This window comes from Homo sapiens, chromosome 19 (genome assembly GCF_000001405.40).
Source record: "Homo sapiens chromosome 19, GRCh38.p14 Primary Assembly".
In the NCBI taxonomy this organism is placed as follows: domain Eukaryota; kingdom Metazoa; phylum Chordata; class Mammalia; order Primates; family Hominidae; genus Homo; species Homo sapiens.
This window is the reverse complement of record NC_000019.10, coordinates 56576543-56590691: the sequence shown is the minus strand read 5'-3', so window position 1 is coordinate 56590691 and position 14149 is coordinate 56576543. Positions and strand designations below refer to the sequence as shown.

Genomic DNA, 14149 nt, shown 5'->3' with positions numbered 1-14149 from the left:
CATCCTACCCATGAACATGGAATCTCTCTCAATTTATTTAGATCTTCTTTGATTTCCAAGGACTGTGTATCTGAAGTTTCCCTTCTGGGTTCAATCGCCATCCTGACCCTTCCCAGTGGCTTCCAGTGGGGCTTTTCCTCTTTCTTCCCCAAAAGAGGAACTGGATGGTATGGGGGTGGGCCTGGTTCTCCAGCATAGAGATGCCACTGAGCTGCTGCTGTGGCCTCTGCTTTATGTGTGTGTGGGGATGCAGGGAGTGTGAGTGATCCCAAGGGAGGTTCAGAAGGGAGGGGTTGTTGGGGCCCCAGGTTGTTGGTCCTTTGGAACCAACCACAGCTATTCCTCCCCAGATGTTTCTTCCAGAGTGCCTGGCTCAGGATCCACGATTCCAGCTGTGAGTGAAGGAATTCAGTGTAGGTGCAGGAGGGCCTGTGTGTCCTGATGCCCTGTGCCTCTAACCTCCCCCAGAATGTCCTGTCTGACGTTTTTCCAGCTCAGGGGTGCCGAGTCCACGTTTTTAATTTGAATGATCCAGTGGCCACAATGACCCTCCCCACAAAATGTAGGAGGAGACCCAGAGCCCATTTGCCTTCCTGGGGCACCCCCAAACCTATAACTGCTCCCTGAGCATCAGAGATGCCTAGATGGGGGATACAGGGAGGTGCTACGTTCAGGTAAAGAGAGGACCTACTGTCAGATGATGTGACTGAATTAACGGGCTGTCAGTGCATGTGCCAGGTACGGAATTGGTTCTAGGGAGGGCACAAGGGATGGAGTGTGGGCCTCTCACTCCACGAGCTGAGCTGGAATGGGACCCTCTCACCTCTCCCAGTGAGCGGGCAGGAGCAGGCTCAGATTTGAAAAGGGGGCAGTCTTGGGGGATCCCCTGAAGTCCTCTCTGAGTTCTGGTCTCTGCCCCTCTCTCCTCCCGCCTCTGAGCCAGCAGCTGAATGTCCGTGATCCAGAGATCCCGGAACTTGGACACCCAAGGATGGTGGTCTTTGTTTCCTGGGTCTGTGAGGGGGGTTCAGTCTCTACCTCCTCCTGAATGGGGGCTTGCCTGGCCTCCCTGGGCCCCACAACTCCAATGCTCATCCTCAACCCAGAGCCTCCAGACCATGGCACCAACCTCCCCTGACAGGTGAGCCTCCTCTGGGACTAGTGTGACCTCAGAGAGCCTTTAACTCAGCATTTCCCGAGAGTCCTTGCGCAGGTTGTTGGGGGCCTTGAGGAGGCTTGTTAGGGGTTCCTGGAGGCAGAAGCCAGGGCCCCTACCAGAGCAGCAGGTGGTGGTGACTTGGGGGTGGCTATAAGCTCTCCTGGGACCTGGAGCTCAGTACTCAGTGGGTTTCCATCAAGCCTCCCAAGGCCTCTCTGTGGAGTGTGAGGGGCTGGAGGCTGACCTCTGGGTTTTGGGGGTGAGGCAGAGGACAGGACCGCAGCCTTCATTCAGCACCCTCACCTCCTTTTCCTTCATCTCCTTTGCCCAAGGTGGCCTCCCTCCTTGCCCCTGTGGGCTGGTGGGAGCTCTGGCTGCTGGTCCTCACCTGCTCAGAGAGTGGGCCCCCTCCTCAGTGATGCCCTCTGAATATTCCCCACCAGGCAAGCAGACCCTTTACTGCCTCCAGGACTCATTCCAGAACCTGGACCTGGGGCCTGTCTTCCTGGATTCAGCAACGAACTGCCCCTCTGATTTAAGAACTGTGTGATCTCTCAGAGATGAGGTCCTTGAGGAGTGTATTAGGCCATTCTTGCATTACTGTAAAGAAATACCTGGTAATTTATAAGGAAAAGAGGTTTAATTGGCTCACAGTTCTGCAGGCTGTACAGCAAACATGACATTGGCATTTGCTTGACTTCTGGGGAGGCCACAGGAGGCTTACAATCATGGCAAAAGGTGAAAGGGGAGCCGCACATCACATGGCAAAAACACATGAGCAAGACAGAAGGGGCGAAATGTGCCACACATTTTTAAAGGACCTAATCTCACAAGAACTCACTCATTATCGAGAAGACAGCACCGTGCCATGAGGGACCTGCCCCATGATCCAAACACCTCCCACCAGGCCCCATCTCCAGCACTGGGGATTACAATCTAACATGAGATTTTGGGCAGGGACAAATATCCAAACTATTTCAAGGGGTGGAGCCAGTGCCTAGGCTGAACCTATACCGCATCCTCAGGACCAACAGCCCAGGGTAAGAGTCCAGCTGGTACTTACCTGTCCCCACTCTCAACATGCATTCTCTATTTCTTTCTTCATGTCTTTCTTTCTTCTTTTCAATTAAGACTTTAGTTTGTTTGTTTGTTTGTTTTCACTTTCTGGAAGTCTGAGATAATTGGCAACGTTTTCTGCCTTTAGCTATTTATAAAATATTCAACACTTGTGTTGTTTCATCTTGAATCTTGTTCTTAAAGCTCCCGTTCTTCTTGTTCAACTTACTGATGTGGCATTTTCAGGATATCTAAATCATTGTTCCCCAAAGAAGGAAATAGTCAAAGAGTAGATTGTAAAAATACATAGTTACAACGCAGAAGTTCACATAATTAACTTTACAGACCCTCCCCCTACAAATAAAACTCTTATGTCTGTTTTACCTGTTTCCAAATTAGTATGTGCATTCTAAATTATTTTGATTTTCAGTTTTAGCATTCATTTAAGCCATTTATGTCTATTTTGAGGCACATTTTTCCTCTTTTTTGATCATATATTTCCTTTAAAATTACTCAGATTTAATTAAAGCCCTTTGTACTCTTCTGAAAATACTTTATTTAAAACACCAATATGCTATTAATCAAAAACTGAGGGATCAATTTGAGTGACTCTAAATTGCGTGTAACTCAGACTGTCCCTGTTTGGGCACTGTATTAATAGTGCTTAGTCACAAGGACAGCAGCCCTTATGCCCTTATGAAGACTGTTCCTTAATGTTCCATGAGGTACATGCATTCTGAGTTCCAGGCTCCTTGGATACAAGGAACACAACAAACATGTCAGTGTGAAGGCCACATTGGGTGGGTGGTGGGAGTTTTTCCACCGTGATCTAGAAATGTCAATTCCTTCAACTTAACAGATGGCTCCTATGTCACTCCTGGCCAGCTTCCTGTAAAAGTCAAAGTTTGTCCTTCTGGGGTAAACTGCCAGAGACATTGTTCAGTTATTGCCAAGACTTCTCTTTAGTAAGAAATGGGAACTTGTCGGCCAGGCCTGGTGGCTCACGCCTGTAATCCCAGCACTTTGGGAGGGCGAGGTGGGTGGATCATAAGGCAAGGAGATCGAGACCATCCTGGCTTACACAGTGAAACCCCATCTCTACTAAAAATACAAAAAATTAGCCGGGCATGGTGGTGGGCGCCTGTAGTCCCAGCTACTCGGAAGGCTGAGGCAGGAGAATGGCATGAACCCGGGAGGTGGGGCTTGCAGTGAGCTGAGATCGCGCCACTGCACTCCAGCCTGGGTGACAGAGCGAGACTCCATCTCAAAAAAAAAAAAAAGGGAACTTGTCCTCCTACAATTTAAACTGGGAAGTGCTATAAAGTTGGCAACCTAACTTTATGTTTCCCAAAGGATAGTGATATGGTTTGGCTGTGTCCCCAACCAAAGCTCAACTTGAATTGTACCTCCCAGGATTCCCACGTGTTGTGGGAAGGACCCAGAGGGAGGTAACTGAATCATGGGGCATGGTCTTTCCCATGCTATTCTCGTGATAGTGAATAAGTCTCACAAGAACTGATGGGTTTATCGGGGGTTCCGCTTTTGCTTCTTTCACATTTTCTCTTGCCGCCACCATGTAAGAAGTGCCTTTCACCTCCCACCATGATTCTGAGGTCTCCTCAGCCATGTGGTACTGTAAATCTAATTAAACCTCTTTTTCTCCCCAGTCTTGGGTATGCCTTTATCAGCAGCATGAAAACAGACTAATACAGTAAATTGGTACCAGTAGAGTGGGGTGCTGCTGAAAAGATACCGAAAAATGTGGAAGTGACTTTGCATAGCTTGAGCTTCAAGCCTCTTAAACCTTGCCTGAGAAAATTTCTGTTTGGCATGATGTTAATTTCTACTTACATGAGAGCCAAAGAACTCCCAGTCCAGTTGTGGTAACAGAATCAGTCTACAATCGTCAATTAAAAATCTTACTTTGATTTTTTTTGAATTACATTGAATGTAAAGATCGATGTGTGTGTGCTTAAAGTAGATCAATATGTGTGCACTTCTTTTTAATAAAGAAAAAACTCTTTCAGTGGGAACAAAGGAATACGTGGCTGGTTCCTTTATACAAGGTGTTTTGTTAGAACAAAATAAAGATGGAATAAATATGTGCGCACACGTTACAGGATTTTTAGCCCATTCTTCTCATGACTCATCTGCCTTCATTTTCACAAAACAAAACACTGCATTTCCAGCTGTCATTGGAGAGTGAGAACATTGGGAAGGCTCTGTCACCTATCCATCCTCAGGATGACAAAACCCCACCGCAGCATTCCTTCCCCTGTCTGGCCCTTTCAGGGGGCAGATCATCGTGGTTTTGATACACATTTCCCTAATGGCGAGTGATGTTGAGCATCTTTTCATATACTTGTTTTTCATTCATATATTTTCTTTGGATAAATGTCTATTCAAACCTTTTGCCTATTTTTAATTGGGTTATTTGTCTTGTTATTGTTAAGTTGTAATTCTGGATTCATGTCCTTTACAGATAAATGATTTGCAAATATCTTCTCTCATTTTGTGAATTGTTTCACTTTCTCGATGGTGTCTTCTGAAGCATAGATTTTTTTGTTTTTTTGTTTTTAAGACAGTGTCTTGCTCTGTCACCTGGGCTGATGTGTGGTGGTGCGATCACAGCTCACTGAAGCCTTGATCTCCCAGGCTCAAGCAATCTTCTCACCTCAGCCTCTCGAGTAGCTGGGATTACAGGCATGCACCAACTCATCTATTAATTTTTTTTTTTTTGTAGAGACTAGATCTCACTATGTTGCCCAGGCTAGTCTCAAACTTTTCCTCAAGTGATCCTCTCACCTTAGCCTCCCAAATTCCTGGGATTACAGGCATGAGGTACCATGCCCAGCCTTGAAGCATAGATGTTTTTAATTCTGATAATAGTCCAACTTGTTTTGCTTTTGTTGCTTGTACTTTGACAGTTATATCTATGAAACTATTTCCAAATCCAAGGTCATGAATATATACCACTATGTTTCTTCTAAGAGTTTTACGATTTCGGTTATTGCATTTAGATATTTGATCTATTTGCATTCATTTTCATATATAGTGTGAGGTAGGGGTCCAAATTCAATCTTTCTTTTTTTTTTTTTTTTTTTTGAGACAGTCTTGCTCTGTCGCCCAGGCTGGAATGCAGCGGCACAATCTTGGCTCACTGCAAGCTCTGCCTCCCAGGTTCATGCCATTCTCCTGCCTCAGCCTCCCGAGTAGCTGGTATTACAGGCACGCACCACTACACCCGGCCAATTTTTTGTATTTTTAGTAGAGACGGAATTTCACCGTGTTAGCCAGGATGGTCTCAATCTGACCTCATGATCCGCCCGCCACGGCCTCTCAAAGTGCTGGGATTACAGGCGTGAGCCACTGCGCCCAGCCCCAAATTCATTCTTTTGCAAGTAGATATCCAGTGATCCCACCATTATTTGTTGAAATGACTTTCCTTTTTTTTTTTTTTTGAGACAGAGTCTCACTCTGTCACCCAGGCTGGAGTGCAATGGCGCGATCTCGGCTCACTGCAACCTCTGCCTCCCGAGTTCAAGCAATTCTCCTGTCTCAGCCTCCCGAGTAGCTGGGATTACAGGTGCACGCCACCACAGCCGGCTAATTTTTTGCATTTTTAGTAGAGACTGGGTTTCACCATATTCTCCAGGCTGGTCTCAAACTCCTGAGCTCAGGCAATCCACCTGCCTCAGCCTCCCAAAGTTCTAGGATCACAGGCGTGAGTCACCGCGCCCGGCTGAAACAACTCTTCTTATCCCACATTAAATTGTTTTGACATCCTTGTTGAAAATCAATTGAGCATAAATGTATGGGTTTATTTCTGGACCTTAATTTCTATTCCATTGATCTCTATAACTATCCTTATGCCAGTACTGCATAGTCTTGGTTACTACAGTTTTGATTTAAAATTGGAAAGTGTGACTCTCCAGCTTTGTTTTGCTTTTTAAATATTGTTTTGGCTATTCTGAGTCCCTTGTGCTTCCATATGAATTTTAGGATCAGCTTATCAATTCCCACAAAAAGGAAATTAGATTGCATTGAACATGTAGATAATGTTGGGAAGCATTGCCATCTTAATAATATTAAGCCTTCCAATGCATAAATATGGGATTTTCTTTCAACAATATTTTATAGTTTTCAGAATCTAACTTTTGTACTTTTGTTGATTCCTAAGTATTTAATTCCTTTTGATGCTATTGTAGGTAGAATTTTTTAAACCTTATTTTTAAATTGTTCTTTGCTTCTGCCACCAGGAGCCCCAAAAAACCTCCCCAAGGCCCCAATCTGCCCAAGGACTCTCAGGCCATGCTGAGTTAAAGGCTCTCTCTGAAGTCACATTAGTCCCAGAGGAGGCTCACCTGGTGGGGCAGTTTGGTGTCATTCCCATTTCAATTAGTCTTTTGATCAGAGATGCTCCTTCAGTTACAACCTCTCTACATAGCATTCTTGATCTGCCAGAGAGTCGGTGTAATGGTTTTAAAATCCATTAGACAAATGGTGTTTTTCTCACGGGAAGAATGAATGTATAGGTTTCTGGACTCTTGTCAGGAGACCTGATGTTGCAACACAAGAACCAATCCAGCAATCCTGCCTTTTGAAGTCTGAACAACATCCTTTACATTATGTTAAGAGATTTCTGGCCTTATAATGTAATTTATTAGCGGCCAGCATTTGGTACATGGATGAGTTCAACAAATTCTTAGAACCATGGCAGGCTACTCAAGCTACTTTGTCAATATATTCAGCCTCCTCAAATTTCACTTCCACAAATGCCCTAGATTTTTCTTAATCTACACTAGTAAACTAACTGCCGAAAATTCTTCTAAGATACAGTTACTCTTTGCCCTATTTTAATTTTGTACATATGTATGATTTTATTTATCTATTTTTCAAACAGGGTCTGGCTTTGTCACCCAAGCTGGATTGCAATGGTGTGATCATGGCTCACTGCAGCCTCGAACTCCTGGGCTCAAGCAATCCTCCCACCTCAGCCTCCCGAGTAGCTAGGTGCCACCATGACTGGAAAATTTAATTTTTTTTTAGATATGGGATAGGGTCATGCTACATTGCCCAGGCTGGTCTCAAATGATCCTCCTGCCTGGGCCTCCCAAAGTGCTAGGATTACAGGCATGAGCCACTGTGCTCAGCCTGATTTTTGCATTTAATGTTATGGTCATGTTAAATTCACTTTGTTATTCCATGTGAGCAACAATGGAATGGGGGAATAAGATGAACTGTTAGCTGTCTCTTCAGAACAGCCATATGTACCTATGCAAACAGATGTTAATAGGTGGTATATCACACGAATCCGGAAGTTCAGTATATTCCAATCCTTTGGCTCATCTCCAATATCACCTTTCCAATAGTAGAGCTATATTTTTTTCTGTTCAATATTCTGTTACACAAGAAGTATGACCATATATCCTGCTTTGCTGAGGATATGAACACCTGTTGTCAAGTGCCCTGTGCAGTTAGCTACTCCTTTCACTCTCAAAAATGTCCCAGTTTGAACAATAAATTATATGGTAATTGCATTAATCAGTTCAGGCTGCCGTAACAATATACCACAGACTGGGTGGCTTAAACAACCAACATTTATTTTCTCACAGTCCTGGAGATTAAAAGTCCAAGATCAAGGTGCTGGCAGGGCTGGTTCCTGGTGAGGTCTCTCCTCCTGGCTTGCAGATGGCAGCATTCTTGTTGTGTCCTTACACAGCATTTCCTCTGTGCACATGTGGAGAGACAAACCTCTGGTGTCTCTTCCTCTTATAAGGACACTAGTCCTATGGGATTAGGGCCTCACTCTTATGGCCTAACTTAACCTTAGTTTCTTAAAGGCCTTATGTCCAAATACAGTCATGTTGGGGTTTAGGACTTCAACAAGTAAATTTGGTGGTGGTAGAGGCCAGCATTTGGTGGTGCTGGTGGGAACACAATTCAGAACTGAATTCACAATTCAATTCACAGTGACTCTTGTGAATAAAGTATAAAATTTAACCAGCATTCCACTTTAACAATGCATAAAAATAGTCTCTAAATTTGGTTATGAGCCATCTTAACCCTATGACTTTAAACAATGTAAGACATCTTTCAACAATATCATACAAAATCCCTTAGGTGAATTTTTTTTGCCTTAATGCTAGAAATTCAAGAGCTAAACTTTAAGTTATTCCAAGCAGTTAGATACCAGTATTACATATACCTTTTGGATTCAGCATTCTCCATCCTCCTTAAATTATCATTATCCAGAACCCTAGACCTCTATTCATCCCAGGTGACTATAATGAATAATCAGGCGTTTGCTCATCGCACACCATGAGATGCTTTCCAGTCTAGAATATAAGTCTTATTCGCCCCATCTCATCCAAAAAGCAACTCCCAATACCTGATTTTTCCAAAGATTCTAATGCCCATTACCCAATCTTCGTACCAAATTCTGTATGATTGTTTCTTTACTTGCAAGCAACTGACCAACAGGAGGCAAAAATCAAGTACCGGAAAGACAATGGGTAGTTTGAGGAATCACAGACTTGGAAAGTACAAAAACCAGGGTGGTTCCAAGGACCAATCAAAAGAATAACTGCATCAGCTTTTAGGGAGTTGCCATTGGATGACACAGATCCAAATGCCTTTTGAAATTCAGAGACAATTTTATTGGCCACGTCCATCAAAAACATATGGTAGGGTATGGCCAGTTACTCAAAAGGAAAAGATGAGATAGTGCAGCCAAAAGGAGGAGGCAAGGGAAACTGGGCAGAGAAAAACAAATGCCTACTATAATATATATTTTGATTTTTATTTTTGATATCACAATTATGGGCCTATACTACAATACAGGTCTGCAATTTTTCATTTAGTATAGCACAGCTATCTTTCTATGACTACACACATTGATTTTTTTTCAACAGCTGCATAATTCCTATTGAATGGATATATACCATAATTAATTTATTTATTACCCTGATGGACACTTGTTGTTTTAATAGTTTACCATTAATTTTTTTGCCACTAATACATTTATCTACCTTTGTATATGTTGGTTTCCAAGGAATATTAATTCAAAGGGTATATACATAAAGCAATAGATATGTAATCAACAATGGAATTCCCTTGTTTCCACACATTCACCAATACTGAATGTTATCACTCGATTAGTCAGTCTTTTGGGGAAAAAGTAGATAATCACTTTAATTTGCATTTCTTGATTTCTAGTGATATTGGATAATTTTCATTAACTGCTTTTATTGCATCTTTTGTGAATGGGACATTAGTCCATTTTTCTAAGTTGCAGATTATTATTGGTTTGTAATAGTACTTTGAATATCACGAATTACAGTCCTTTATTATATCTGTTGCAAACACTTTGTGTCAGTCTCTCATTTATCTATTGACTATGATGTTTTCCACCATATAAAAGCCTAATGTCAGCTTTGGGGTTATGCATTAGTGCTTAAAGTCTATTTCAAACCGAGGGTACATATATATTATTCTGTTTTTCATGTACTTTAATTTTACATTTAGACCTTTAATATCTCAGGCATTTCATTAGTGTGAAAGGTACAGATCTGTTTTTCCAGTGAGCTAAGTTTCCCAATGCCATTTGATCAAACCACCTTTTCCCCACTACAATGAAAAATCCTTTTTATCATATATAAGGAGAGTCTGAAAGCTCCACATTCTCTGGTGAGACTACCCATCCCCTAGCCATTATGCTTCTATCAGCAGAAGTGAAGAGGGAGCCCCAAACTCCATTTTCTAGCAGTCATGTACTCTGGATAACGGCTTCCCTCACATGGCCCTCTATACTTCCACAGAAAGCAGTTAAGAGGGAACCCAAGAGCTCTGGGTGCTTCAGTTGAAAAAAAAAAAAAAGTACTCTTCCAGGGATGGCCATAACTACAAAAGGACAAGGGATTCCTCTTTGAGGTGATGAAAATGTTCTAAAATTGATGGTGGTGATGGTTGCACAACTCCGTGAATGAACTAAAAGCCATAAGTTGTACACTTTAAGTGGAACTTTGGGGCTCCCTCTTCACTTCTGCTGATGGATACAGAGAGAAGGATATGGGTGTTCTCCAGAATTGCTTTGTCTCAATAAAGCTGTCACTCAAAAAATACCCTTCCACCAGCTTCTAAATCAACATTTATATGAGTGAACATAACTGCCATGATCTCTGTTAAACCATCAATCCTCCCTTCCTCCAACACTCAAAGCATCATAAACAATATCTGCCTTGGGACTATCATGACTATTTTCATTATGCCTTTTGTGTCTCACAGTTACCTCTAGTTCTTCCCTCATCCTCTAATACCAACATGTTCTGGGGATAGTAAGGTGCCTGATCCAGCACTCCCTAGCTTCTTTTTTATATCATTTCTCTTTATGGGACATATCATATACTTATCACATAGCATGCATTTAATTTTTTCTGTTCTACTAGATCTGTAAGAGCACGTATTTTTGTCCATCTTGTACCTTACTGTATCCCCCAGCACCTAAAATAGTGTGTGAAACATTAGCAAATGTTCAATTAGTATTAGTACTACATTCCTAATGTAAACTACATTCCTCGTTAAAATCAAAATTCTACAGATGATCAGAATCAGCTTCTCAACTAAAAAAATATGGAAATTTTTACTGGAATATCAATGAATTTACAATTTAGGGAGAAATATTTTTATCAGATTTTCTATACAGAGGCATGTCTAGCCTTCCTATTTTTAAATATTTTAAAAATAAGTTTAAGTTGTAACATCTACATTCAGAAACTAATTGCAGTGTACATATTTTTATGTTTTGGCATGTCTTGTCAATCTCATGGAACAAGATGGAAGGTCTTATTGCATTTTATTTTATGCTAGAACAATTTAAATACCACACGAATTGTCTGTGGTACTTTTATAAAGGCCAAAGTATTGAACTACCCTTTTCAGTGTTTCATGGCTATTAATCTATTCAAGTTTTTTTGGCTTGTTACTTTTGGTTTACTACTACCTACCCTGGTTAGTCCTACATTCTACCAAATGCTTTTGTTCTTTGTTTTTCCTTGAGACAGTGTCTGGCTCTGCTGCCCAGCTGGAATTGCAGTGGTGTGATCATGACTCACTGCAACCTCTACCTCCTGGGCTCAAGCAATCCTCCTGCTTCAGCCTCCTGAGTAGCTAGGACTACAGGTGTGCACCACCACGCCTGGCTAATTTCTGTATTTTTTGTAGAGACAGGGTTTCACCATGTTGCTCAGGTTGGTCTCGAACTCCTGAGCTCAAGCAATCTGCCTGCCTCAGCCTCCCAAAGTGCTGGGACTACAGGCATGAGCCACCGCACCCAGCTAAAAGCTTTTGTTCTAATTGGCTGATTCTCACTTCTCAGTGTCAGGTAAAGTGAGAGTTGCTCATCAACAATGTCACAGAGGGAGTGATAAGCCACCATGTTACCTTGTGTACCATAAATCTTTCAATTCTGAGTTTGTTCATCTTTCCTCTCTACCAGGAGAGTAGTCTTCTGTCTGCTCTAAAATCTTAGTCTTAGACTTACTGTTTGGTTTACTTGCTGCTTAATATGATAGTTTGTAAGGAAACCTTTACCTTAATGGCTAGCATTTATTTAGCAATAACTATATGCCAGTGTGTGCTAAATCCTTGAAATGGATTAGTTAATATATTTTTCAAATCAAGTGTTTTAAATGGGAAAATAACATAAATTATGTATTTTTATTTTTAAAAGGTTAGGCTGCCTACAGTGTTAAACATGTAGTTGATAGAAGCAAAAGGGGCAACAGTTATGCTACTGCAGAAATCCAGATGAGATGGTTGCGTCTTGGACTATGATGATGGGACATGTGCTGGAAAAAAGCAGATGGATGCTAGAAGCATTTACGAGATTGAATCTATAGGACTTGGTGGTATGGGAGGGCAGAGGAGAGAATAACTGATGACTCTCCGGTATGAATTCGCTGATGATGAGCAAGATGTACACTCTGCCTGAAGGCTTTTCCACATTCTTTACACTCATAGGGCCTTTCTCCAGTATGAATTCTCTTATGTAGAGTAAGATGGGCAACCTGGCTGAAGGCTTTGCTACATTCCTTACACTCATAAGGTTTCTCTCCTGTATGAATTCTCTGATGCAGAGTAAGGGATTTACGATGGCTAAAGGCTTTCCCACAAACATTACATTCATAAGGTTTCTCACCAGTATGACATCTCTGATGACAAATCAAGGATGCCCTCTGCCTGAATGCCTTCCCACATTCAAGACATTCATACGGTCTTTTGCCACTGTGGAGTCTCTGATGTTGAACAAGATATGAGCCATCACTAAAGGCCTTCCCACATTCAATACATTCGTAAGGCTTCTCACCAGTATGAACTCTCTGGTGCTGAACAAGGTGTGCAATCTGACTGAAGGCCTTACCACATTCCTTACATTCATAAGGTTTCTCCCCAGTGTGTATTTTCTGATGTTGCGCGAGGTGTGCATTCTGGCTGAAGGTTTTGCTGCATTCCTTACATTCATAAGGTTTCTCTCCAGTATGAATTCTCTGATGATGAGCCAGATGCGTGCTCTGCCGGAAAGCTTTCCCACATTCTTTACATTCATAGGGTTTCTCTCCAGTATGAACTCTCTGATGAAGAGTAAGAGACCCACGATGGCTGAAGGCTTTCTCACAGATATTGCATTCATAAGGTTTCTCTCCTGTATGAATTCTCTGATGTACTGTCAGAGATGAGCCATGGCTAAAAGCCTTCCCACACACATTACATTTGTAAGGTCTCTCTCCAGTATGAGTTCTCTTATGCTGAATAAGTCCTATGTGATCAGTGAAAGCCTTCCCACAATCAATACAGTCAAAGGGTTTCTCTCCAGTATGATAATATCGCCGATGACGTATAAGAGAAGCATTCTGCCTGAAAGCTTTCCCACAGTCAATACATTCATAAGGTCTTTTCCCAGTGTGAATCCTTCGATGATGAGCTAGGGATGAGCAATCACTAAAAGCCTTCCCACATTCAATACATTCATAGGGTTTCTCTCCAGTGTGGACCCTCTGATGTTGAGCAAGGTGTGCAAGCTGGCTGAATGCTTTATTACACTGCTTACACTGATAAGGTTTCTCTCCAGTATGAACTCTCTGGTGTTGAACAAGATGAGCATTCTGGCTGAAGGCTTTCCCACATTCAGTACATTCAAAAGGTTTTTCTCCTGTGTGTATTCTCTGATGTTGAGCAAGGTGGGCACTCTGGCTAAAGGCCTTTCCACATTCAATACATTCATAGGGTTTCTCTCCTGTATGAATTCTTTGGTGAAGAGTAAGGGTTGAGATTTTGCTGAATATTTTCTCACAGTCATTACATTTTAAAAGTTTCTTTTCTCCACGGTCTTGCTTGTGTTTTTTCACAACTGAATGTGTTTTTAAGCTTTTCTTATCTGTATGAAAATTAAATATTCTCTCTTCCATGGGAAAAATCTGTTTTATATAAGATAATGTATTCAGATGAAAAACTGTCCCAGATTTGTTAGAGTGATCTCTTTTTTCAATAAGAGTATCTATATGAGTGATGGTCTCTTGCCTAAAATGTGTCTTCTGGTTTACAAGCTCCCTCTCAAACAAGTCTTCACATTTCCAGTTTTTCCCTAATGTTGAACATTCAAGGTCATAGCTTTTAAGTCTTTCCATTATGATTGCCGGGGGTAATTTTTCTTCATAAATATCCTGGTTTAAAGATAATGATTTGGTCACCCACACACACTCCAAGTCTGAAAGATATTAAGAAAGTAAATGTCTCCTTTATTAAATGCTAGAATAATGGAAATTTCGAAAATGAAAATGTGAATCACATAGTTATTGAAACCCACAAGCAGAGGTACATGTTTTTATGGTTCTTACATAAGATTAGGTGATACAACCATCCTTGCACTGCTGTAAT

At 41.7% G+C, this 14149-nt stretch overlaps 1 protein-coding gene, 1 long non-coding RNA gene and 1 pseudogene across 4 annotated transcripts in view; 1 reads left to right on the top strand and 2 right to left on the bottom strand.

Annotated features, from left to right (window-relative positions):
- SIGLEC31P (sialic acid binding Ig like lectin 31, pseudogene) lies at positions 201-738 on the top strand (annotated as a pseudogene).
- On the bottom strand, positions 1781-3267 carry LOC124904777 (uncharacterized). Its single transcript, XR_007067354.1, has 2 exons — positions 2600-3267; positions 1781-2466 (listed from the first exon to the last, which is right to left on the bottom strand). It is a non-coding gene; the product is annotated as an uncharacterized LOC124904777 (long non-coding RNA).
- Positions 3268-7797: 4530 nt separating this feature from the next.
- ZNF470 (zinc finger protein 470) overlaps positions 7798-14149 on the bottom strand; it is a 15427-nt gene continuing 9075 nt past the window's right edge. For all 3 annotated transcript variants that reach the window (NM_001001668.4, XM_047438804.1, XM_047438805.1), the window contains one exon: positions 7798-13979. In NM_001001668.4, coding sequence (NP_001001668.3) covers positions 12109-13979 — 1871 coding nt within the window. In that variant the 3' untranslated portion in view covers positions 7798-12108. The remainder of the gene's footprint in view (positions 13980-14149) is intronic.